We start from the raw sequence: 27,833 nt of genomic DNA on the forward strand, positions 1-27,833 counted from the left end.
GCCTTTTTCAGTAGTACATTAACTTGGGTTCCAACTCAGAAGACAAGTCAGAACATTGAACATTTCTCCAGATACTCAATGTGAAAAGAATCCAAATAGAAACAGTTTCAATTTCAAAATATTTTTTGATACATACACATTCCTGAGGATGAATGAGCCTGTGTGTGTGTGTGTGTGTGTGTGTGTGTGTGTGTGTGTGTGTTTGGGGAGAGAGTGTAGGTAGGAGGGGACGAGAGACCATAAACATCAACATCCACACACTAGAAATCCATAAACCACAGAAAGAATCAGAGACAAAAAGTGGGTTCTCCCTGCAGTGTACCAGTTCATGAAAAAGTAGCCTTCATAGTTGTCTGCTAAACTTTCTAGATCAGCCTAATAGTTTTTTGGTTGGTTGTATCTCTTTAAAAAACAAAAACAAAACAAATGAAAAACCAAACCTGACCTCCCTGCAGAGGCAAATGAGGATTAGCCATTCAGTATCTCCTTATCATCTGCATCCTGGTATTTGTTCTCAGAGACAAGGGGTCCTCTACCCCTAATTCCAGTCCACTTTAGGGCCCTATAGTTACTTAGAACAAACGCATACTTGCTGTGACAGCCGAAAGAGCCTGGAGAAATATGTAAACATCATCATCTCACTTTAGAAGGAAAACAAGCTGTATAAATAAGAAAAACTGTTACAAGAGTTTAAAAAAAAAATCCCAACAGTCTTACTTGTAGTTAGCTCTTCAGTCAACACATATCACAGTCCTGGAGACAGACACAGGAACTACAACTCTCTCCAGCTAAAAATTTCCTCCCGCGGTTGGTTATCCTCTGTTTATTTTTGAAGCATTCAAAGGCCACGCTAACAGAACAGACTCGGTTTTCCTGAACATCCACAGCGGCTGGGAAGTCCTGCCGTGAATGCGGAGCAAGTTTGCGGAGACTTGCTCCCTGGGCTGCGGCTCCGTAGTTGCTTCGAGCTTGTAAATACAAGCTCCGTGGACAAAGTCCCAAATGACATCACTGGCAGCTGCTTATTGTTGAGTCTTTATTAACTGACTGTCAAAAAGAAAGGAGGGGGTGGGGAGGAAGAGTATCTCTTCTGCAGCAAAATCGGCATCTTGGAGTGGATTCCAGTTATACATGCGTAAATAATCCCATTGATTCACATTTTTGAGAGGATGGCTTCTTTCAGGTCTGAAAAAGACAGAGAATCGCCTCCACCAGCTTACACTGGAATAGCTGGAGACCTGGAGGAAAAGTTTGAAGTGCCAGCACAGCCCTACCAAATTGTTTACCCACCTGTTTCGAGTCAACTTCAGAGCCTGATGATTCATGAATATATGAATACTGGTTGTGTCTTACATTGCTTAATTACTTTTACTGTGATATATACACCTGGCCGACATTTTTCCTAGATAGATTGTCTTGGGTGCAACTCCTTTTAGATACATTCTAGTGTCTCAGCTTGGAGTAGAAGGAAGGGATCCTTGAAATCACAGCAACATTTTGTGTGCATTTGCAAATATGCAATTTTTCTTTTCCTGAGAAGAGTGCTGGAGGCTTTCTTCTGATTCTTAAAATTTTAACCACCCACCTGCACCACCCCCGACACTCCAAAAAACAAATAAATAAGAATCTGTGCCAAGTCTTTCTAATAATCTCACAGAACACTGTAAATCCCACTCACAACTATCAAAATAAAAGTGGGCCTTTTCTCCCCTATTTTCCACTCTCTCATGGAATCTCTCTTCTGTCCGTTGGTTCTTATAGTTTTTACAGTTATCTCCCCTCCAACCCCTAGCCCCCACCTAGAGAAATTCCACAGATCCAACACCTAGTCTCTGCCACGAAGCGCGAACACTCCAGCCCACTGTTTTCCTTCCTTCCTCTGGACTGCTATAACGATGCTTACTATTTATATTTACTTGCTGCTTTTTATATACTGACTAGTATTTTTAGTTTGTTTTTTAGCCATCTGTGTTCTGTCTCCCCAACTCAGTTTGAAAGGTCTTTGAGGGCTGCCTTGTAAGTGTTATTTGTTTATACCTAAATCACTTGCCATAGTGAATCCTAAACAGAAATGTGGGAGGTGGGGGGTGAGCATTGAGGGTGGAGGCAGGAACAAGGTTAGCTGATTCTGTGGCATGGAGTGTATGTTTAGATTAAGCTCTCTCCCTGGCCTTGGAAAACAATGACCTCACATCTCACTACCCCCAGCAGATGCTCATTGCATGTCTGAAAATTATTTCCTCAAAGAGTAGCAATTGGTTATTGATTTGGTAGGGTCCCAAGACCCCAATATATGCTACTTTCATGTGGGAAATAGTTAAAGACAACACAAATTGTGTATGTCACTGATGGGTCTTCAATGAGCCCCATGTTAAGAGAAAGTAAATTAGATGTACCTAAAGATTTTACAAGTACAGACCCTTAGACCCAGCAATTCCACTTTTCCATAGTGATCCCACAAATACACTCACAAAAGAGCACAAAGATATAAGCACAAGTTCTTTGCAGCATTATTTGTAAGCCAATAAAAGGGAGACTAATATTCATCAATACAAGAAAACAAAAATGGAGGTAACTGTGAATATACTGATGTGGACAGAAGTAGGTTGTTGCTTACTGAGTGGATAAAGCAAGGTGCAGCGTAGAAGGTGGCATATTGAACACGAAAAAGAACTTTGCATATGATGAGAGGAATTATATAAATGATTAACAGTGGTTACCCTCGGGAAAAAAGGTGGAAAGAACTTTCACATTTGTATGCTTTGTGTGTGGTTTGACTTTTTTTCAATGATCATGTTTCATTTTTGTTATTAGAAATAATAATAAAAAGACTTGGTGGTACATTTTCAAAATAAGCCTCAAAAAGAAAAATTGCTATTTCTTCACTAAATGTCTGACCTATAGTAGGTGCTCAAGAAAGAGGTATTGATTGAATGAATGTTGATGAAGTTTCTCCCAGGATGCAATGGTATGTGGGAGTGGAATAGGGTTGAGAAGAGGAAGACACAAGCACTAGTTTTCATTTCTGATCCAAGGACCCACCCCTTTCCCCTTATATTTGAGGACTGATTTAAAGACCTCTTAGACTCTGTCCACCTTCAGAAATGATTAAAGTTCAGTGCTCAGAACATAAAGTGCTGACCTTTTCCTTGTGCAATCCTGTTTGACAAATGAAGTTTTAAGGTAAGACAAGTGTGAGCCGCTTCGGTTCATTTTCCTGGCTGCTAGCAAGCACCGGAGCGACAAGTCAGAAAGCTTGTAGGGGCACAGGTGTGACCAGCTCCTTGTCATGGCTAGTCTAACATTAAGGAAATCTCCAGGGAGAGCTTAGAAAGCTCTAACCCACAATGAGTCTGCAGAGCTTTATTAAGAAGGGACTTTGCCTTTTTTCAGTGGCCGGGAGTGATGGCACAAAACCCAGCCCTGCCTACCTGCTATACTGCCTACCAGGCCTTTATAGTAGAAACTCGAAGGCATAAGCCATACATTAGAGCCTATGTTTTTCTTTAGGGGGGAAAAAAAAGTCCAAGAAAAAGAATGACTGAAAATTTCCACCAAGATAGGATAGACTTTTCAAAGCACTATTTCTATTCCTCTAGAGAAAGCATATCCAATTCTTGTCTTACTTCATAGTGAGAAGATATCTTACGTCTATAATCGTTTCAAGAAAAGGAAAGCATAGCCCATGTTTCCTGCATATTTTTATTTTTTTTATGGCCCACATATTATAGGAACCTGAGGCCAGATTCTGTTTAATGCACTTTTGGAGCCCCTTGGGTGTGATCCAGGTCATACCTTCCCGAGGGAGAGTTAAATACAAGTATTTAGCTAGACTTACGACTTAGCATAAAAACAAAAGAGGGTGGGGGTAGGGGAGGGAAAGGCCATCCTCACCACCTCTACCTACTAGGTGATTATGAATGCTGCTGCCAAAACTCCCCCCACCTGCTGAGTGTTGTCTCCCCGCCTCCTGCCCGCCTGCTAGTCCTGCGCTCAGGTAATGTCCTCTCTCCCTGAGGCCTGGGAGAAGGACGGCTGGGTGACACTGTAACAGGCACATATATGGCTATTTACCTGATCATTTTTAAAAATGTCTTATGCTGGTCATTTTATTATGTTAATAAGTGTTTTCTGTCTTAAATTGGAAAATTCCTGAAGTCAGAGATGGTAATCAGATCTGCATGGAGTAAAAAACAGCCAAAAGGTCTCTTAGAGCTGCTTACTGGTGATGACATGTATTACAAGGGACCTACAAGGACCATGATCACAGGCACAGTTTCTACCTCCAGCGTCTGAGTCTGCCACTCCCCCATTCTCATAAACAACTGCCCCTTCTTCAGCATTTCTATGTGCCATTGGCTTTCAGTGCATCATCTAATTTACCCTTAAAAAAGCCCAGTGAGGAGGCGGAGGTTGCCGTGAGCCAAGATCGCACCATTGCATTCCAGCCTGGGCAACAAGAGTGAAACTCCATCTCAAAAAAAAAAAAACCCAGAACCAAAAACAAAACCCAGTGAGTTACACACTATTATCTTCACTCACCTTTCACAACCAAGGAAACTGAGGCCCAGGGAGATATGTTCCTGAACTAATTTGAATGTGATTACACAAAGAGTCAGTGGCAGATCCGGAATTTCAACTCAGGTCTGCCTGACCCTCCAGTGTCCTAAGGAGCCCTGGATCCCTCTGAGGATGATAAACATTGAAGAGGAAGTTAGTAAACTAATATGAACAGTGGTAACTTGGAATAAGAAGCATGTGACCACCATTAATACTCCTGGGTCTGATTCCTATATGCAAATATATGCCAGTGGGCATTCAGCAGAGCTTCAGATGTCAACCGCAAACCCATGTGACTTCTGCTCCTTTATGTAACCCAGCCCCTCTGCTTAGCTCTTCCAAGAGAAGATAAGTCATAGGCATGAAAGACAAGTGCAAAGACCATGGGAATCACACTCACAGGGCTGAGTCCTAGGGCATTACTGTGCAGTAAATTCTCCATGCCCTTGGAGGTGGGCAAGATTCAATTGCAGGATGGAGAAAATATCGGCGGTGGGGGAATTCAGTATATTTGTTGCATGCTTCCCTTTGCACTGAGCCTTTAGTAATGAGTATTGTCTGCTGCAGTACCTGTGTCTTCTCCTGGAGCTAATTGTTCTACCAGGGCTTAAGAGACAGCCTGAGGCCATCCAGTCTGCTCTGTAAGAGTTAATATGGTCAGGAATAGGAAGCACAGGAAATTTTAGAAAGGGCAGCATAGGAACACCTCAGCATTCATCAAACAAACTGGCATGGTGTTGAGAGTGTGAGTCTCAAGGGGCCTTGAGAACCCTCGTGTTTAGAACGTGGCCCATGTCATTCTCACACATATGGTCCTCAGACCATATTTTAAGAGGCACTGGTTATAACAAGAGAAGCAAACAGATGACCTTCTAGTCTACAATCAGACATTGATAAAGATCATGTAGTTTTGTCCAGGTTCTTTAGGAGGGAGCCCTGTGACCAATTAGAAAATTCTTGGTAACCATAACTTACAATAGATCATATCTGACACAAAGTTGGTGTACAAAGTAAAACTTAGAAAAGACAAAACAGGTGCCACATTGAGGGCCCCAAACGCATAGTGGGATAAAGACATTTATAGGCTTTAATCACTGCAGATGTTATGGTAGCCCTCTTACATAAATCAAACAAAAACAAGACTAAACCATAAAGTGAGCATAAGGAATTCCAACAAAGTTCAGATTACTCCCATAATGACTGCTTTGATGCATTTCATGATATTTCAAATTTCAAACTTACAAATGCTGTTTTCCCTCCTGAGAGGAGTGAGGGCTGCCTCCTGGTCCCCTCAACACACATGTAATCTGTCTGTTTGGTTGTTGACAGTATTGCAACCCCAAGGACCTTTGGCGAGGGGGCTGATACAGCCTACATCTGCTGGGAGAGGAGGTGAGGGGAGAGATGTAAAGTTTCCCCTATTTTGAGAAACTACCTGGAACCTGCCATGGAAATGAGGTGTCAGCCCACCATCCCTTTGCTTTTTCACCAGCGTAGGTTCTAGGCCCAGCCCAGGGAGGCACAGTGAGGGTTAATGTACTAAGGCACTGGAAGGCTCTTCATGAAAGGCCCTATGTAAGGATAAAGTATCATCATGAAGTTGGAGGATTTTATTTCAGCCTCCTCATTGTGTTGTTGACAGTACATACTGTGAGATTGACATTTTTAACTTCTTTGCTTGCCCCAAATAAAAAGTGCTGAGACAGAGGAGGTGGGAAAAGGGAACGGGTGTCGGGAGCCGTAATCTTCTCCTGACTTTGATTTTACACAAATCCAATGCACAAAATTGAAGTCCAGTTTGCCAGCTGGGGTCCAGCAATACTACTTTAAGGATTTATGTAAATTCATTAAACTACAAGATGCAAGTTGCATTCCTTTTAACCTGCGAACAGAGTCTGCCTGAAACCAGAGCCTGGAGGAGGCAGGGGATATGACTGTGTGGAAACTGAGAGTGCAATGAATTTTGTGTGCCCCGATTGTCTAAATAGATAGACTCTGAGTCCAATTTTCACCTGATTCTGGGAGGCCATTAAAATCAGTTGATAATACTAAGAAATGGAAGAGGATAAGAAAAGGAAGAGGATGGGGACAGCCACTGACTTTCCCCTGTGTGAAACCTGGCTTATTGTAATCAGCGCCTGCCCTGAATGGTGTTGACAGTGGGTTCCCTGTAGTCCCTAAAACACACTGAGGCTTGACGCATAATAGCCCCTGACCCCACCAGATCATAATAGTCCCAGACGACCACGCTAGGATGTGATGAGGAGCTCCCAGCAGATAACATGCAAAGATGCCCCAGGGAAGAGGCAGGGATGCTCTGCTTTTCCTTGGTGGCCCCAGGGAACAGACTCTTCAGGCTCTGGTGGCCCTGCTGCATTTGCCCAGATGGCCAGCAGAGCCCTGGGCTGATTACTCAGCCAGCCCCTGAGTTCCTCCTTTCATGTTGAGAAAGCTTTTTAGTTAAAACGACAAAAATGGGAGTGGTGGCAAGGAAGGTGGCTCAGGGGTCTGCTGGAGTGGGCTGGAGTTGCATTTTCTTCTTTCCTTTTTTTTTTTTTTTTTTTGGAAGCACACACACAAGCACATGTGCACACACATAATATAAATTCTTTGCTCTGATCACCTGATATTTTAAGCTCCAGAAACAGCTTATTTTTGTGGCAAATATGCTTCAAGGGCCCTTCAGAAAAGGCATCCTTACAGATCAGAGGAAGAGTGAGTCAGCCCTAACCCAACAGTCTGTTCCTAACCCAACAACCCTGGAAAGTCAACAGAAATGGCAGAAATTGGGTAGGGGCAGCCAGAGGAAAGTTGCCAGCTCAGGTGCAAAGAACACCTGTCCAGGCACAGGGCCAGGGCTCTAGGGGTGAGCAAGGCTGAGATGCAGCTGTAGGCTTTTCCATGTCCAGCGTGGGGACTGCTCCCTTGCCTTGGCCTGACAAAGAGAGAAAATGGTCATCATCCAGGCAGCCACAGCGCATGTTTACTCTTTCTCCCGGGAAAAATTGCCTGTGCTTTCTCCAAACTCAGGCAAAGCCCACTGTGGTTTGGAGAAATGGTCATTTGTCCAAGAAACCACAGTATTAGAATTCTCTGCACTTCCCCTGAGACGCCAGGAAAGTCCAAGGGACTTGACCCTGGGCTATTAGGCAGGAGCCTCTTGGCTCTGTTGTCACTGCTGGCTTAAACTTTACACCTTAAAGAAATCCAGGGTGATTGATTTGAAACACATTGAACCTTTTCCAGGTACAATAACCATTGTTCAATCTACAAATCTACTGGATTTGGGAAATTATTTTAAATGACAGCCTTCTATTAACAAAGGAGAATAACCACTCAATTTATCAGTTGCCACTTATTATTTTGACTGATTATAAGAACATGAGTCCTATCGGTTAGGGTCATGAGAAGTTATTGCTAGCTTCCACATTTTCAAGCATTCCATATTTTGAAATTGCTTAATTCTACGGCCAGTGCCTTCTGAATAAATATAAAAATGATAACACTTCTTATTTTATAAGAAGAGTGTAGACAGTATAGTAAGGAGGCTTTTGAGTGTTACAATAGCAATAGAATACATTTGAAATGAAGTCTTAGGTTCCATTCGGTTCCATAAACAGCTCAGAGGGTGATGTCCCTGGGTAACGTCCTACAGCCCATCCTACCAGCCCTCTCCTACTGCTGCTGGCCAAATCGGCAGAGAAATTGCAGACAGGGCTGGATGAACTGAATTAAAGTACATTCTTCTTTCCCTGTCCAGCTCATCCCTTATTGACTCCTGAGCTCTTTTGACCCATAGCAACCATCTGATCTCTTAACGATAAACATGGACTTGCATGTTCACATTTGCTTTTTGTAGGCCACTCTCACTCCAAGCCAGACTGTGGTCACCTTGATGCAGAGACCTTCTTCTATGCCTCAGTAGTTCCCTCCATGCTAGCATGGTGCTAGCCATGTACAGCTGTGTAAACAGGTTTATTCCAACTGGAAAAGGAGATGAAAGTCACAGTAGGCCTAAAAGGTAAGGCAAAATAGGTAGATTTGACGCAACTTGGGCTTCCAGCTACAGACTTGAATGGGTGATGAGGAAGTGGGAAGGCAAGGCTCCAGGGCCTAAGGTCCAGAAACTTGGCTGCCATTCTTTTCTTTGTTCTTCCCATTCTTTTTTCTTCAGCTACTCCTCTTCCAAGCCACTTGTTTAATAAAGATTGTCATATCTGCCTCCTCTCCTAGAGGCAATCAGCATCACTTAATAGTGGTGAAAAATACATGGGGTGTTCACAGAAAATAATATATTACTGTGTAACAAAGGGCAGGTAAGCTTGAAGGGTACATGAATCTACTAATCTTTGAAATCATTAATTTGTTATTTATTATTGAATGTGCTTATTCATTCACTGAGTCATTCACCAAACATTATATGGAACAGTATACAATTTATACCACAAATCCTCACTGCAAACATATAGTACTTCAGGTTCTATGTATATTTTGCAATCTGAATGCCTATAGAACATTCTGTGGGTGTCTACTGATTGGGAGACACAATTGAAAAATACATTGAAATATTTCCACCTCTGTTTTGATAAAAAAATAAAGTCAAAGCATAGGCGCTGTTTGTCTGAGTGAGAGGGGGTAACTAAGATTGTACAGAACTGGAAAAGTTAGGACAATCTGAAAATAAAGTGCAGCTAATTGAACATGATACACTAATCTCTTGGATACAGAGAATTCAGTTATTAGTGGAAACCCAGTTCATCAATGGAAATGTAATTGTTGACAGAGCATGAACTATGATTGACATGAGGTCAGAAAGTCCAAAGGTCGCAGGGTTAGTGATTCATATCAGCTTGTCAGAGCCTTTCCTGTAATACACTCCATACTTGGAAACCAGAGTGATTGGAACATGCTCTCCTTTCATCTCAGAGATGAGACCAGTTTCCACCTAAGCCTCTGGTATTTGGACTTGGGCTGGTAAGGCAACTCATAGAAATGCATTCCCAGAAGCAGGGAACCTTCCCACCCCCAACATCAAACTTCCATACCAACACCAAATTATGTCCAGTCCCCAGGAGAGACTCATCTCACCCTAGGAGGGGGCAGTGGGTGATATGCCCAGGGCTTCCTGCTAACTTTGGCCCCAGGGACTGCTGAAGAATGCACCACCCCTGTGGTGAGAGAGAAGGAAGAAAAGAAGGAAAGGACATTCTAGAATTGATGTGGTGAGGTTGTGGGTAGAATGAAGGCCCAGGGTTGTTCTGTAATACACATGAATACAAAAGTACCTGGTCTGGCCTGGAAGACAGGGACTCCAGGAAGACCCCTATAGCATTGTAATGTTTGGGAGCATTATCACATTTAGCTCTGGTTTGCTCCCTAGATATATTCCCTATTTTACCATTATTTCCCTGTTCTCAGCAGTTTGTTCTCTTTTTTTCTTCTTTTTTTTAATAGGATTTTTAAATTATTATTATTATACTTTAAGTTTTAGGGTACATGTGCACAACGTGCAGGTTTGTTACATTGTACACATGTGCCATGTTGGTGTGCTGCACCCATTAACTCGTCATTTAGCATTAGGTATATCTCCTAATGCTATCCCTCCCAACTTCCCCCACCCCACAACAGTCCCCAGTGTGTGATGTTCCCCTTCCTGTTCTCTTTTAATTCATTGCCCTCATGTTCAATTTCCTTTTGATCTATATGTATGAGCGGCCAAGTATATGTGAAGTACTGCAGGAACCATCCAGAATGTCTCTGCTCCCTGTCCTCTTAACCAGATGGAAAAACAACTGCTCTTGGTTTCCAAACCCTCTCCCCATTCATTATTCCATGGCTTCATTTGTGACCCTTCCAGGTGGCTTAGAAAAGGCTTCATAGAAAACCACCTAAGACGACCCAGCTCCAGCACTGAAAGTCAAGTGTCCTTTCCATCTGGGCAAAGCAAAATGGTTGGTCACCCTAAGCCTACTACAATTTCTATTAGCAACTTCTCAAAATCTCAAAAATAAGAGAAAGAAAATCTAAAGGAAACAATGTGCTCCTATACTAGTTGCCTAACACCATCTAATTGCCTCTAATGGTCCCTCCCATGTAAAGATTCTGTGTGGTTTCCTCTATATCTTGTTGACTCTAGTTCCTATGGTAACAAACCTCTGCTCCATTCATCTCCATTTGTCTTGCCACCCTCCCTTTCTTCAGCATCTTCCCTTGCACCCTTGCAGTGACCCCATCTATCCCCCATCTATCCCTGTAAAAGACATTTGGCAAATTGTGCAGTCTTTACAAAGTGATGCCGTGTTGAGCCTTTCTGGGAAAGTACAATCTTTCAGCCTGGAACTAACCCTGGGGAAGACGCAGACATGCACTGCATGGGTCCCTTGTCGGGGAGCAGGAAGCCTCCAGCTGCCAGCTCCCTCAGGCTTTGCCTCACCCAAGGACCCTTCTTCCCCAAGTGGCCTACAACCAGTTACTGATCCATGTAGGAGCATAAACGCCAAGAAATCCCAGACTGATTCCAGTCACTCCAAGGGGCCATACTCACTCCACAGTATCCTGCAGGATTGGCTGTGGCTCTGTCGTGCCTGACCCCAATGCACGTCTCCTATGTTCAGTCCTGAATTCTTCCCCTCCCTCCCATGGATGTCTCTTCTGAAACAATATACAGCAATGTCCTTATTCAATCAATACGCAGTCTCATTTCAGTGTCTGCTTCTAGAGAACCCAGTCTGCGTCATGACCTCAAGAACTTTAAGTACCAAAAGGAGAAGTTTGGTTTCTCCAGAGTCCACAGTAAAATCTGTTTGTTCTTAGATAACTGGAACACTGACTCAGGGTAAGAAATTAAAATCTGGAGAGCCACACAATGAGCTCTGGTAACCCAACAAATAATCTGTTCTTAAGAAACACATACTTAAAGCAGAGCAGAGTAGCAGCTTAGACAATTAAATAAGATATATAAGGCCAGGTAATAATAACAGTAACCGTAATGGTCATAAACATTTGGATAGCACTTAGGATATGCCAAACACCTTTCATAGCCCTTTACATATCTTAACTCATTTAATCTTCACCATAATCATATGAGTCAGGTACTTTCATTATCCTATTTTCCAACAAGGAAACTGAGGCACATACAGGTTGAGTAATTTGCTAAAAATTGCACAGCTACTGAGTGGGCAGAGCTAGGGTTTTAAACTCTAGCAACTGTCTCTAAAGTCTCCACCAAACTGTAATTGTATGTTAATGTAGTGTATGTACTCTGACTATAGACTTATAATGAAACTAAAGAAGGAGGTTTGTCCGTAAGTGAGAAATCAAGCAATCAGGAATCTGGAGACACATAGAACTCAAAGGGTCAGGTCAAAATGGAACATGAGAAGAGTGAATCACAGCAGAGACTTTGATTCTCTGGCAGAGACTTTGATTTTCTGGCTGGATTCTGGCCCAGACTCCACCCTTCTTTTGCAGGGCAGGAGGCCAGTTGAGGGTTGGCCAGCATAGGTCTGCATGTGAAGGCAGATAAGTAGGTGTCCCTGGATAGAATAAAGGATTTAGATGCAGGAATGCAGACAGGTTTTGACAGAGATAGGAAATAAAACTGACTCAGTGGAAGGGAAACAAGCAGTAAGATTCATATCCTCATCCAACCCATGGCAATAAACACTGCCCTCCATCATCAACAGGCTGCATCAATATTTCGATGACATTCCTTTTTCCTTAAATAAGGAAATCCTCTGTGTTAAACTGAGGTATACCCAGGCCCAATTTCAACCCCCCATTTTAATGTCCCTCTGGGTATCACATATGTACCTTTCTCTCCCCATTATAGTTCTGCAAACATAATTCCTTAAATTTCCAGCAAATAGGATTCATAAAGAATACATAAATATTTTTGGCTTTCATACATGTCTACACAAAAAATAGAGATGATTGTTTTCTTTTACTTTTATTCAACTGTGGTGCTGCAGAGAAGCTAGACAAACCAGTGGCCCGTCATTAGCACATCAATCCAAAGGTACAGGGTAAGCCATAGATTGTTCCCCAATACTCAGGAGGCCACTGTCTCCCAGCTTCCTTTCGGGAATTGTTTACTCATCCATGAAGTTACTGCTATGCTGGGATAATCCAGGTCACTACGGCTTCTTGGAAATTAATTTTTAAGCCCCATTCTACCTCCTGACTCTCTGCAGGAGAAAATAGAAGAAAAGATAGAGATAAATAAATTTTTTAAAAATCCTATGTTGCAAATTATTTATACTTCAAGTCTTTGGTCAAGGAGGATCTAAACTCCTGCACCTCTGGTTTCTCTGAGCTCTGTGTATTATTCAGATGGCTGTGGAAATTGAACCCCAGGCTAAGGTCATAGAAGGGAAAATAGCTATTTTCTCTTTTACCATGGAAACTCTCTGCACCGTGGGGTGCTAAGAAGAAATGGACAGCTTTAATAATTTGGGGGGATGTCTGCCTCTACCTTAGCCAACATAATGGAGTTATGGTATAGTATAAATCATGGGTGTCTAACTCAGGCTGCCTCTCAAGGGTTCAGGGAAGCCTCGTACTCACTTAGAACAAATCAGCATGGTTTATTCCCAAGACAAATTAAGCATTTTCCCCACAAGCTTTAATCACCTCTGAGTACCCTAGAAGACGCAGTGCACAGGTCCTCAGAGAGAACATTTGTGCATTTGTGGACAGACTTTGGTTTTGCATGTGAAGCTTCCATCCCAAATACAAAATCACACCATCAAAGACATTCATTATTTTGTAAGATTATGTCTTATGAATATATATTCAGTACAAAGTTTCTCTCTCTCTCTTTGGAGGAGAGTTTCGGAAATGAATAGCTCCAAACTCAACAGCTACTTGCAATCAGTTCTGGAAACCCTAAGTGACAGCTTGTTTCTTCCCTTTTCTTCCAACCTCCTTCCTCTTTCCCTTCCTCTTGCTCATCTTTTTAATATGACTTAAGTAAGGAAGAACTTAATGATATCTACCTTAGTCCCTAACAGTTTTTTCAGAACTCTGTGTCTGAAAGAATGATCTCATCACAAATTAATCCTCCATTGCTCCTAAAATAAATCTGTATAGAATGACGACATCTGTTTCCAACTCTACAATATGAGTTTAAAAAAAATCTTAAAAGTAAACTTGGGAAGGAAATGTCTCAGATGCATTTGAGTTCCTGGTGAACAGCATCAAAAGGCTTTATGCTGGTAAGACAGGGCCAGAGATGGTTATCTTATTGGACACCTGTGCCTCATCCCCATCCACTTCCTGTTGTAAGGGATTCTTCCTATGGAGAGTGAAGAACATGCTGGCTAATTTAAGTCCCACTGTTCTTCTTGGTGGAATCTCAATGGCTGTCCTGAGCCCCAGGTGTCAGTTTGGGAATGCATTTTCACAGGGCAGGCATCTGGCCCTGAGTCCTTGGCAAACCAACTGTGACAGGTTCCTCTGACAGCTGCAGTGGCAGGGCTGGGCCTCCAGGTGATTAAATAATCCTGCTTTCTGGCCCAATCATGTGTTTGGATTGGACCCATTTCCCTGGAATGGGGCTGAACCAAACACAGCTGCTGCTCACTGACCACAGTGAGGTGTCTATGGGCTGAGCACTCCCCACCCTAAAATTGTGAAATGTCCCTTTTTCTTTCTCAGACAACTCAAACCTTCAGTTATCACAGACATGCCCCTGGAAATATAAGAACCTCCATCTGTCTGAAATGGAGCTGAAAGTTCACTTTTCGTTGTAAGTATTGTTAAATTTGATAGCTCTGCTTTGAAAAGCAGGGGCCATTTCTAACGTTAGCTAGAAATATTCCTTTCTTTCAATAGTAGTAGGCATGCCCATGCAATACACATTTGACTACATGTGTACACCAGATGAAGAAATGGATCAAGAGGATGTATACTCAATGTATTTACATTTTCCAAAGATATGACACCACGTCCTGGAGAAAAAAATTAAAATACCTCTTTGTGGTGAAGCTTAGTGTTGCAGACACACAAATATCAATGGCCTCCTACTGAATAAAAACACACATTCATAGCAGGTGGGAATTCAATTTCACAATAGTAAAACTGCTGTGAGGGGATTCTATAGACCAGTGGTTTTTAAAGTGTGGTCTCTAGACCTGCAGCACCAGCACCATGCAGGAGTCTATCAGAAATGCAAATTCTCAGGCCCAACCCCAGACCTACTGCATCAGGGACTCTGTGGGTGAGACCCAACATTGTTCCACAAGTGCCCCAGGTGATTCTGATGGATGCTAAAGGCTGAAAACTGTCCTGGCTGAAACGGGCTAGACATGATCAGACTGGGGGAGTGTGAGGATTGCTCTGGAGAATTTTTCATGCATGCTCTGAATAATCACTCCAGCGTAATTCACTCCTCCTTCAGCTAGATCTAATCCATGCTGCCATTCTCTCCTCAAGGGTGTTACTATCAGTTAATTCCCTGCTTCTATACAATTTTACCCCCTCACACACACATGCACGGTAGTAATCAGTGCTTTGCTGTAGTATGGGCAGTTCGGCAGACATCCAAATGCATCAACTCATCATGAATTCTAATCAAAGTGTTTCCAAGGGGCAGACATAAATGTCCCCATTTTACAGATGGTAAAAACCTAGCTTGTCTATTAGCGTTTCGATTAAGACAACATAAAGATAGTTCTGGCTTCACCCTTTGTTATAGTGAATAACATATTTCCAGTTTCCTGGTCCAGTCAACCTGATATAAAATCTGGAACCTCAAATACTCTCTCTAAAGCCTTCACTCAGCCTTGACCAAATTGAAGGTTAGGGTAGGGATATACTGTTTTTTGTTCAAGATGTCTCCAGCCAACTAATAAGAATTTTCACTGACAAAATTGTTTTGCAGAACAGCATTTGTGGTCATACCCCCTGTTTCTGAGGTCATGTTGACCCAGGCATCTTTATTCAATTCTAACAGGAGTTGTAAACTGATACAACCTTTCTGGGAAGCAATTAGGCTATTATTTGATTTTGTAATGATACTTCTTGGAATTGATCAAAAGGAAATAAATAGACCAGAGATGATAAAAAAATATATATATGATATGATGTGGATGTTTGTCCCCTCCAAATGTCATGTTGAAATGTGATTCCCAATGTTGGAGGTAGGGCCTGGTGGGAGGTGACTATATCATGGATCCCTCACCTCCTCATGGACCGTCATTCATGGATCCCTCATGAATGACTTAGCAACTCCCATCCCTTGGTGGTGGGTGAGTTCTCACTGTGAGTTCACATGAGATCTAGTTGTTTAAAAGAGCATGGCACTTCCCCCTCATCCTTGCTCCTGCTATGGGATATGCTGGCTACCCATCACCTGTTGCCTTGATTGGAAGCTTCCTGAGGCCTCTCCAGAAGCAGATGCCAGCACCGTGGATTCCTGTAAGCCCTGCACTGCTGTAAGCCAATTAAACGTCTTTTCTTTATAAATTACCCAGCCTCAATACTCCTTTATAGCGATGCAAGCCTAATACAATATATAAGGAAGTTCTCTATCATGGAGTTTGTAAAAGTTCACATAAAATGGGCAAGGTTAAACAAACTGTAGTTCTTCCATAAGATAAACTATAACATAGCCATTTAGAAGCCAACTTTTTAGCACAAGTTATTAAATAGTAGTCGTAAGATAAAGTCAAATGAAAATGGCATGATATAAACCTTTTTTTTTTCTTGTTTTGAGGTGGAGTCTCGCTCTGTCGCCCAGGCTGGAATGTAGTGGCGCGATCTCAGCTCACTGCAAGCTCTGCCTCCTGGGTTCACGCCATTCTCCTGCCTCAGCCTCCCGAGTAGCTGGGACTACAGGCACCCACCACCATGCCTGGCTAATTGTTTTGTATTTTTAGTAGAGACGGGGTTTCACCGTGTTAGCCAGGATGGTCTCGATCTCCTGACCTCGTGATCCACCCACCTCAGCCTCCCAAAGTGCTGGGATTACAGGCGTGAGCCACCGCACCCAGCCTGTGTGGGTAAATGGATTAAGAATTATTTTCATATATTTTCCATAATAAATATGTTACTTTTATACATGGAGGAAAATAATGTTTTTTAATAGGAGATGTGGTTTCCATATTCCTAGGATAGTTCAGGTAATTAGAAGTCTCACACATGCACACACACACATAAAATGAGCTAAATTTATTGCTAAAAAATATTCTCTTAAGAAAGCTCTGCACTTTTCAGATGTTGGGGAAATGTAGTCAAGGTTTGGACTCCCTCCTTGGCAGTCAATTCTGACACTGAAAGGTAATGTATCCTGAGAGGCAGTGCCTAGCCTGAAGCCCCACTGACAAAGGGCCAGGCAGGGTTTCAAATCAGGGCACATTTGTATAGATACCTGGAAGAGGCTTCTTCTTGCTTCTTAATACTTTTTTTTAAAAAATGAGGGCAGGGCCAGGTGCAGTGGCTCATGCCTGTAATCCTAGCTCTTTGGGAGGCTGAGGCGGGTGGATCACTTGAGGTCAGTAGTTTGAGACCAGCCTGGCCAACATGGTCAGACCCATCTCTACTAAATATACAAAAATTAGCTGGGCATGGTGGCATACATCTGTAATCCCAGCTACTTGGGAGGCTGAGGCAGGAGAATTGCTTGAACCCAAGAGGTGGAGGTTGTGGTGAGCCAAGATTGAGCCACTGTGTTCCAGTCTGGGAAACAGAGTGAGCCTCTGTCTCAAAAAATAAAATAAAATTAAGGCAGGGAATGGGAGGATGTAGGTCAAAGAATACAAAGTAGCAGATAAAACCTGGAGAGCTAATATACAATATAAGGACAATAGTTAATAAAACTGTATTATATTCAGGATTTTTGCTAAGAGAGTAGGTTTTAGCTGTTCTTGCCAAAAAAAAGAAAGAAGGAAGGAAGGAAGGAAGGAAGGAAGGAAGGAAGGAAGGAAGGAAGGAAGGAGGGAAAGAAAGAGAGAAAAGAAAAGAAAAGAAAGTAAAGAAAAAAGAGGGTAATTGTGAGATGACAAATTTTAATTTTTCTGGGCTATAGTAATCATTTCACTATGTATATCAAAACATTCTACAACTTAAATATATACAGTAAAAATAAAGCAAAATCAAGATAAAATGAGGGCAAAATAATTTGTTATTTGCAAACAGTTTAGGAGACATGTTTAATGCAGTTTTAAAATGGGAAGAAATAATATTAAATACAAACTATGTCCTAGGACACTTTTCATACAGGTTTCATTACATCAAACCTGGAAAAAACTATTATCTCCATTTTATAGGTGAAGGAATGGGGATCCATAGACACTAGCTGGATTGTCAACTTAAACACAGTCACTTAATGACACAGATCAAGGCCATGTTTGTCCAAATCAAAGCCTGTGCTTTGCACACTCTATTATCTACTACCTCTGATAGCTTAAGTAGTTTGAAACATCTTGGTTGAGTCGGGAATGCAGGTCAGGCCTTTTACTTCTTGTTTACTATTCTCTTGAAATGAACATCACAAAATATCATTTTGTCATGGATTATACACCACTTCCATTAGATTTTTTCCAAATATTTCAAGAAGTTAATGATATAAAATTACAATTATTGAATGTATAATATGTATTAGACATGTGTCAGTCACTTTACATATGTTATTTCATTTACTAGTTTTCATAACAGCAGTCCTATGCATTATTCATGCTCTTTTACAAATGAGGAAACTGAGACTCAGAGGGGTTAATTATCTACCCCTACTCACAGGTAGGAAGCACCAAAGGCAGAATTCAAATGATCTGTTGGACCTCAAAGTCTGTGCTCTTATTTTTTCTATTCAGAAATATTTCTAGAGAAAGAGATTCCACAAGCTCCTTCCATCTCTTAGTCTGGCATCAAGTTTATGTGTTTTGGCAAAAATAATATCTTGGCATGGTGCTGATCATTAAAAAAGAAAAAGTGAGAACAAGCACTATTGGCCTTTGTAAGGGTCTGGGATTAAGTATGAACAGATATTAGAGATAATGGGCAGATTTGGCGTTTCCTTCTCAACATCTTTAGCATAAAGTTCATTAGGAGCTGGGGTTTTCAATAGTAAAAGTTCATTCAGTTACAATGAACTCAGACTCTTAGTAGAATCTCATTCAATACTTAAGTATTAATGACCAACTGAAGCCAAGTGATCTCTAGGTATCTAAGCACCTCCCTCAGAGGGTCCAGCCTGCCAACACAAGTCCACGTGATCTGCGGCCCAATAATGTCCACCCTGAACCCTCAGTCACTTCCTTCCTTCCTTCTGCTTCCGATTCCTGGCCAGTTCCTGAAGCCCCCTGTACTTGACGTTGAGATTGACCTCCTTGAACTCACTCACCTTCAGACCTAATGCTTGCTGTGGGTGATTTACCATAGCCTCAGCTGCCTCTCTGAGCCATCACTCTTACTTATTACTGGGTCACATATTATTGTATCAACTTCAGGAAAAGAGGTAACAGGTCATCGCTCAAGGACAGTGCTACCAATGGGTTCTCCTCCAACAAATGTGACTCAGGCATCTTCACATAGATGTGAAGCACTGTGTGGAGGATGCTGGCTAGTCCATGTCCAATTTGTCTTCTCTTAATCTTTGTGAGCAAAGTGGTGGTGTGAGCAGATGGTTGCTATGTTGACACAAGAAATCTGGGGTACAATCATTGGCACTTGATCCCATCTTAAGACAGCAATATCACACACACACACACACACACACACACACACACACACACACACAGGATTTAGGATAGGCAGGTAGCGTGAGTGAGGAATAGGGTGGGGCTGCAATAGAGAATGGTGGGGACTACGATGAACTGGAAAGGGCATGGCCAGCAAAAGGCATTTGGATCTACAGTTCTTGAACACTAAGCAGGCAAAATAAAAGAGGTCTGCAGCCAGTTCAGAATCTCTGAATTGGACAGTCTATCTTTTAGCCCTGACTAAGTATACTCCTAGCAAAACTTGAATTCAGAGAAAGTCGAGGTAAAGGACTCACGCGAGGGGTGTGCCCTGCCCTAATCTAGCAGGCTACCTGACGTCCTCACCTTTTCCCTTCATAAAGCAAAAGGCTGGCACCATTTTCACTATGATATCAGTCATCACATTTTTCAGAACAAGTAATGAGTAAGCATGAGAGGCCGGGAGCCAGATTGCCAGGGCTGGAATGCTGGCTCCACCACCAAGATCGTTCCTCAGTCAAGCCTCAGGCCTGCAAAATGGAGACCAGTGGCACCATCCTCTCAGAGGGTTGTTGTGAAGTGCTCAGAACAATGCCTGGCACTTACAGAGGTTGTGTCAGGTAATAATCATTGTGTGGCCAACTTAACTGCCTCAAGCCTGCTTTTGGGAAGACAACCTGAGTACAACACACCCAGTTTGGGAGGTGACATCGGAATGGAAAAATCTGGAATGAATTGCATCTTTCTGGGAAAAGCATTGATGCAGATGACAGAAAAGTATTTATGTTTTGTGCACATGGTCTCCACCTGAAGGGAAAACTGAGAAAAGTCCTCAGGGCAGCAAGAGAGAGCCAGCCAGTAGGAAAGCTTCTGAAATGTGGACAACATCAATAAAGTGTTTGGCCCTAACCAAAGTTCCTGCACAATGAGGATGAGGTTTACTTGGCATCTTCCTTCCTCATCTCTTCCCCATGCCTTGCCACAAGCATGCAGCCCACGTTTCTCTCTCTGAAGGCAGCATGCTAGAAAATTACCCTTTCCTCCCTGCTGTAACAAAATGCTGATATTTAACCAAGAAAGAAGTTTGATTTGATTTCATTAATTCACAGGACAGCACGCAAATGAGTGGATCAGTGAATTCACTTTAACTTTTATCGCCTGACAAGACTTTCCAGTTTCTCTAGTATAGTGTTTTTCAAACCAGGATTTATGACCCATCAGAGGTTTAATCAGTTTAATGAGTCCAGCCCAGCATTTTGTTAAAGAAAATAGAAACTGTTAAAATAGAATAAAAAGGAATAAATAAATAAAAAGAATAAAATAGAGTTGATGCCATGTCATAAGTGTGTGTATGTCTGTATACACACACACACTTACATACACATGTGAGTCAACTATGTCACAATGTTAAATGTATTTCTTGTTGGCAATGATCAAAATAATTTTGGAAATACTATTCTAATGTAAAGTCCTATGGTCTGATGTGCTTGGATTCTGGCTTAATGGGGACTCTTGATTCCTTTTTCCTCCCTCCCTCCCTCCCTCTCTCCCTACCTCTCGTCTTCTCTCCCTCCCTCCCCCTTCCTCCCCTCCCTTCCCTCCTTCTTCCCTTCCTTCCTCCCTTCCCTCTTTCCTTTCTTCCCTCCTTCCCTTCCTTCTTCCCTCTCTCCCTCCCTCCCACCCTTCCTTCCTTCCCTAATTCCTTCCCTAATTCATTCCTTCCTTCCTCCCTTCCTTCCTCCTTCCCTCCCTCCCTCTCTTCCTACCTTCCCTCCTCCCTGCCTCATTTCCTTTTCCCATTTATCAAAAGTTTGTTGAGCACCTTCTGGGAGCCACGCACTCTTTAAGCATTAGAATTATAGAAGTGAACCAGAACACTAAGGTCCCTACTTTCAAGGAGCACACATTTTAGAAGGACATATTAGGCAATAAACACATAAACAAAAATATGCATAACATGCAAAGTAGTGGTAAGTATCATGGAGAGCAAGGTAGAGAGGTAGGGATACAGGTGATGTGGTTGGTCAGAAAATGATTCTCTGATTGGGGACATTTAAGTAGACTTGAAAGGAGTGAGGAAGCAAACCATGAGACTATTTAGGGACAAATGTTCCAGGCAAAGGGACCAGCCAGAGCCAAGGGCCCGAGATGATCATCTGTTTGGTGTTGGGGAAGATACCAAGAAGCCAGTGTGCCTTTGGGGAGGGAATGATGGAGCGGCAGGGAGGAAATGAGGTGCAGTGGTTGTGGAGGTCACATGGCCATTGCAGACAAGGTAGCAACTCTGGCTTGGACTCCAAGTAAGATGTGGACCCCCTAGTGGGTTTGGAGCAGAGGACTGACATGATCCTGCCCACAATTCTTAAGGGATATTGGGGTTGCTGGGAAAGATGAACTGCAGAGAAACCAAGGGGACACAGGACAACAGATAGGACATTCTTTGTAATCCAGAGAGTGACATGGCTCTGGCCATACAAGTAGCAGTGGAGGTGTCAGGATGAACTCGGGTTGGGAATAGTTTATATGTAGATCTGACACAGTAATGAAGTAAATATGAGTGTGGAAGAAATTAAAAAGGCAAGAATACATCTGAGGTTTTTACCTGAGAAATTGGAAAGACAGAATCATCTTTCCTGGAAGGGGGAGCCTGCAGGAGAAGCAGTTTCACGGGGGAATTGGGAGTCTGTTCTGAATAAGTCAGGATGGGATACCTAGCAAGCATCCAAATGAGGAGACGTCCAGGGGGATTCTGGATGCACCGTCCTGGGACTCAGGAGAGAGAGACCCAGGATGGAGGTATAGATCTGGGAGTTGTCAGCATATAACTAGTATTTAAAGCCATGAGGCTAGATGAGATCACCAAGGAAGTCCACATAAATAAAGAAGAAAAGATATTCAGACAGTGAGGTAATGTTCAGGCACATTATAATCCTCCTCATGCCCACCAGATGGCCAGAGCCCCTTTATATGGATGTAGGGAGCCATCCAGAAATATCTGGACCACTGCATCAGGAAGGCTGCCATTCTTTCATCCAATAAATATTTATTGACAGCCTACGGGTGCCAGGCATTGATGGCCTTAGAGAGAGAAGAAGATGTTTCGATGAAAAGAAGAGACTTGCTAATGTACATGAAACACAAACTGATGTAATATCCACAGCTAAGGCAAAGTTGGTTGACTCTCTCCCAGTTGCCTGAAAGCAACTCAGTGAGAAGGCTGTGGACAGAAAAGAACATCAATGGAGCTAAAACTGAAGCCTCCTTTGCCCTGCAGGAGACACACTCTAGAATCCTCTTTCCTGCCTTCCTTTTTTGTTAACCGGGGCTCCTCAACTCCATCTCAGCCTCCACTCACTGAACTCCACAACCTTCTCCCAAGGAGTGTCCACTTGGCTGGACCTGCCTAACGAGTCAGTTTTCCTACATCCCTATCCTCAGCATCCTCCTTTGAAGACATTCACTTAAAAGTGGTGGCCGGGCGCGGTGGCTCACGCCTGTAATTCCAGCACTTTGGGAGGCCGAGGTGGGCAGATCACGAGGTTAGGAGATCGAGACCATCCTGGCTAACACAGTGAAACCCCATCAAGAGATCAAGACGGCCAACACGGTGAAACCCCGTCTCTACTAAAAATACAAAAAACTAGCCAGGCTTGGTGGCGGGCACCTGTAGTCAGCTACCTGGGAGGCTGAGGCAGGAGAATGGCGTGAACCCGGGAGGCAGAGCTTGCAGTGAGCCGAGATCGCGCCACTGCACTCCAGCCTGGGTGACAGAGCGAGACTCTGTCTCAAAAAAAAAAAAAAAAAAAAAAGAAAGTGGTGAGGTTGACTGTGGGTGCAGAGGCCTGAGAACATGACTCTCACAACCATGGCAAACCACAAAACCCAGCAAAAGAAAAGTAGAAATTCCCAAAGGAGGAGTTACTCACGGGTGAATTCTCAGTTCGTTGAACTGTCATGCATCTTTAAATACCATCGCCTAGGACTTTATTATTGTTCACAAGTGCCCTGGTCATTTATCTGCAGTAAAAGTTGCTCCTTTGCCCAGCCCTTTGACTCACTGAAGCAGAAGACTTTGATTTAATAAGCAGTTTTCTTGATGCCTTCTCATGTTTCCGAAAGTTTGTTCACAAAGTAAATGTGATGGTGAGAGTATGCTGTCTGTGTGTGTGTTTGTGTGTGCATGTGTGTGTGAGAGAGAGAGAGAGAGAGTGTTGTGTGTCAATATTTTGTGTGTTGTATGATGTGTTTGTGAGTGGCACGGGTTGTGTGTTTGTGTGAGTACTGTATGTATATGAGTGTGTGTGAGTGTTGGGTGCATGTATGTCCAAATCTGTGTCATTCTTCTGCTGGAGTCCACACTGCAGAGAAGCTGTAATTAAGCCAGGAACCAGTGAGTGCGGGGAGAGGGAAGGGACTTCCTACCACCCTTGGAAAATAAAGTAGGGCTTCTTGTCAGGTGGAGCAATGATCATTTATTTAGATACTGATGATCAACATTAAACTAAGAGCCCAAATAAACAGTGAGCTGAAGTTGGGCCCATAAAGAACTTGGATGGCCGGGTTTCCCTTCCTGCTGAGTGAATGTGTTTGCCAACTGAAGTCACGTGCCTCAGAAAACAGCTGCCCCTTTCTGCTGCCAGGGGAGCTGCTGCTCTCTCTTGCTCTTTCCAAATGGATAATTTAAGCATCTTCCACTGCATTGGAAACACAGACCCACGTGTTTCCAGGAAGGAGGGGGAGAGGACTTCTGGGTCTAGGTATTTGTCAGAGGCAGAAGGGAAAGTATAGTCTGAAAATCCTGGTCGTCTAAAAACAGCTTGGAGAACATTTTAACAACTGTCGCTGTTGGCACCTGGCTTCATCACACTCAAATGGAAAGCGCTTGGGCGGCACAAAACAAAACAAAACAAAACAAAAACACCAACAAAAACACCTGGATCCCACCTTAGAATGTGCAGAGAATTGTTGTATGTATCCTACTATTTTTCTACATAACAACTCTGTGAAATGAGGAATTGAAGCTCAGAAAATTTTCTTTCACAGAAGCAGTCCCAGAAATGACACTCAAGCCCACGACTTTAATTTTTTTCCTAATTTTAATCATAAAAGCAGTTCATGTTTATGATATGAACTTTTCCCCTAAACTGTACAGAAGAGTATAAGGCAAACAGTTAAAATTCTGTTCATTCTTAGGACCTCAGTATCAGTTCTCAAGGGTAATTATCTATTGCTAAGTACCTCTTGTATGTCCTTCCAGAAAAGGTCAATCACTTACACACAAATGCACGTTTATTCTTTTTAAAAATATAAATAGGATCATTCTACACACACACACACACACACACACAGGGGTATGAAACATTTTTCATTTGACAATGTACTTTATACTAATTTCAGGACATACTATCTGCGTAGAATTCTCCCAAACAATGCACCCTAATTTATTTAACCAGCTCCTTGCTGATGAAAGTTCAGGTGTTTTCAAACCCAAGTCTCTTGATTGTGCAAACCAGGCTCTTTTGCTTACAAACTATGTCACTCTAGTCAGAGAATGAGATCCAAGTCAGCCTCAGGCAAAATAAAAGTTGTTTATGTGTTTAGGCATTTATTTATTTATATAACACCTAATGCCAGATAAGACTTGTACCTTCACAGGCATCTCTCTCCTTTCCGAATTTCTTTCTTGTTGCAATATTCATTGACTCTTTCTGCATTTCCCCATTAAAACCATGAATTGCTAGCAAGGAACTGGAAAACAATTTCTTGACTTCATCTATACCTTAGACTTTGCCTGGATTCTTACATCACTGGGAACCAGTTATTAGGATACCAACAACAATTTGATATCATGAAGAGCAAGCTGCTCATTGAAGTCTCCAATTTCAGCCATTCAGCTGATGTCATGAAGACACAAATACTGAAATAGATTAATATCCATTTAATTTTATAAAAGGCATCTTTGATTCTTCTTCAGAATACACTTTGCCTACACTTTTGCCTTTATGAAAGGACAGCATTTGTGTGTTTTAAACCAGTATAACATTCCTGCTCAGGTTTTGATGAAAAGGGTTTTCATTTTTCTATTTTGTCTGAAATGTAAACATTTAGGAATTATAAATTATAGTGTTATGACATGCCCAGCTTCATCAGGGGCTAGATGGGGATTAATCTGGGTTAATCCTTGTTCTCATCCTCAGCCCAGACACCAGAAAACAAAGTATAAAGTTATCTTTGAAGCAGAAGGTAGCTGTCAGTCCTGTTACAATCCAGTTTCAACAGCACTGAGAACCATGAGCATTCCTGGATTGTCCTTCCTGAGGAAGATCCAATAGTTCACAGTGTTTATAAAACAAACAGTCACTACTACCGTAATTTTAAATAGATTATCTCCTAACAAAGCTGATGCAGAATTCACAAGAGGAACCCAGAACTACTTCTTTAAAATTTGTTCATGTTTGCACATTTATCCATAGATAGATGATATACACTATCTGTTATCACCCAGAATTGTATACACATTTGTATATATACACACACATAGATATGTCATCTTCACAAAAAAAAGGAAGAAGATACCCAATTCAGTTGTGCACTATAGATAAGGGGCTCTAGAGCTTGAAATTTTCTGACAAAATTAAAAAAAAAAAGCCAGCATACACCCTTGGACCAATGGTGTCTTCTGTTATCATTACTGCACACACACACAAGAATATTTTAATGCCAAACAATAAATGGTAAAAATCTTAAAATAGGTTTTGATACTTTAAAATGAATACTTAAAATTTTATTTTTTTTAAGTCTGTATTATTTTTTATTCTCTTTTTGCCGAAGGCTGGGGAAAACCACTTGACAGACTAATGTTTGGGTGCTATGGGTGGCAGAGAGCCATCTAGTTCAGTTGGCCACTTTGCAATCTTGCCCAAGTTACTTTTAATTTGTATGAGTACATAATAGGTTTATCTATGTATGACGGTTTGATACAGGCATGCAATGCATAAGAATCACATTATGTGATTATGGAGAATTCTTCTCTTCCAGCCTCTGTTTCTTCTTCTGTGAAACAGGATAGAACTTCTTTCAGGATGATGTGAGAATTAATGACATAATGTGCATAGGGGATGCAGCCCTCACTTCCATACTAGGTAAACTCCTGAGTTATGGTCCCCTGTGCAAGTGCCAGGAGTATCCACAGACCCTCTAGGCAGGTCCCCTCCGAAGAGCCCAACCTGGAGACCAGGCCCAGGTGGAGCCTCCTAGAGAGACACAGTGATAAATACACGCTGTACTTTCTTCCCACCCAAATCTTCTACAACTCCAATTAGTAACATTGTTTTTCTTCCTCCAAAATTTCCTTCAGCGTGGTGGGACCATCACTTTGTGTGGAGCCCACGCTTCTTTGATGAGTCAATGAAAGTGATGAATTCAGGAGAGGCCATCATTGCAGCCGTGGGACTCTCAGGCAGGATGGCTTGATGGTTAGGTGGCTGGGTTACCATCTCCACCACAGTGTGTGGCTGACTCTCGACTTCGTTGGCTGGGAGGAAACCTAATGAGAAAATCTCTCTCTTTCTCTCTTCTCAGCCTCTTTCTCTCACTCTCACTCTCTCTTGCCCTGGGGTCGGCTCCTATCATCTCTCTTCTTGGCACTCCCTGACATGCCACCATGAGGATACACAGCCCATCATGCTAGTGTCCCACATTAACCATAACCTCCTGGAATCAGACTGTGATTTGTTCATTTTGGGATCTTTAGGGCCTAACAGAGTGCCCGACACTAAGTAGGTATGCAACACTTTTCTGGTGACATGACACTGAACTGAGAGAACCAGGAGGTCCCACTTAAAAAGAATGGGTTTCTAGCCCCTGATTGCTCTTAATAGTCATTAAACCATTTTCTGCTACCCCTGCTTTCTCATCTACAAAAGGGAGGTCATTCCTCTTACCTGCCTTTTCTTGCAGGGTTTTGTCAAGAGAGAACAAGATACACAAATTCTAAAAGAAACTTTGATACAAAGTTTAAAAGGAGTGAAAAACAATATAGTTACTTTAAGACACCAAGAGGATATGGGTATGTTACATCACTTCATCGCTATATGAGGACCACAGGACACTGCTGAGTTGCTGAGTTTACTCATTTCCTCACTTACACATTCATTCATTCATTCATTCGACAAACACACACTGAGCGTTTTAAGTTAAATGAGACAACATCCCACCCTCAAGCAGCCAAGGGTCTCATGGAAGAGACCAAAGACTAAAGAAATACCTGAAATATAATGGAATTCAAGATGTGAAAGAAACAACTGTGGATTCCCAGGGGGCACTTAACACAACTTTCTACTGGAGATGGCCATGAGATGACTCCTGGGGGAAGAGCAGGAGTTGAACCAATATAGTAGCAAGAAAGGGCATCCCAGGCTAAGTAAGGTCAAGAACAAAGAGGCAAGGGACAGTGTTATGCGCATTGATACCTTGTGGTTGATATCACTTTTGTTTTGTATTGTTTTGTTCTATTTTAATGACTGTTTAGGTGGGGCGTATATAACCCAGTTCATCAGGGGGCCCAGCACTACTCTATTATCTTCACCTCTCCTT

General features: G+C 42.4%; 1 protein-coding gene across 14 annotated transcripts in view; it reads right to left on the reverse strand.

Annotated features, from left to right (window-relative positions):
- The window catches only part of NCKAP5 (NCK associated protein 5), a 1,003,049-nt gene that overhangs the window by 895,711 nt on the left and 79,505 nt on the right, over window positions 1-27,833 (reverse strand). For 6 of the 14 annotated variants that reach the window (XM_005263659.5, XM_017003979.3, NM_207481.4 and 3 more), the window contains exon 1: window positions 718-965. The exons of 7 other annotated variants lie outside the window; for them this stretch is intronic. The gene's annotated coding sequence lies outside the window, so the exon portion shown is untranslated. Of the gene's footprint in view, window positions 1-445; window positions 584-717; window positions 966-27,833 lie in introns of those variants that run through there. One more of the 14 variants, XM_017003974.1, reaches the window with a different exon arrangement.

Source organism: Homo sapiens, chromosome 2 (assembly GCF_000001405.40).
Source record: "Homo sapiens chromosome 2, GRCh38.p14 Primary Assembly".
Lineage (NCBI taxonomy): Eukaryota > Metazoa > Chordata > Mammalia > Primates > Hominidae > Homo > Homo sapiens.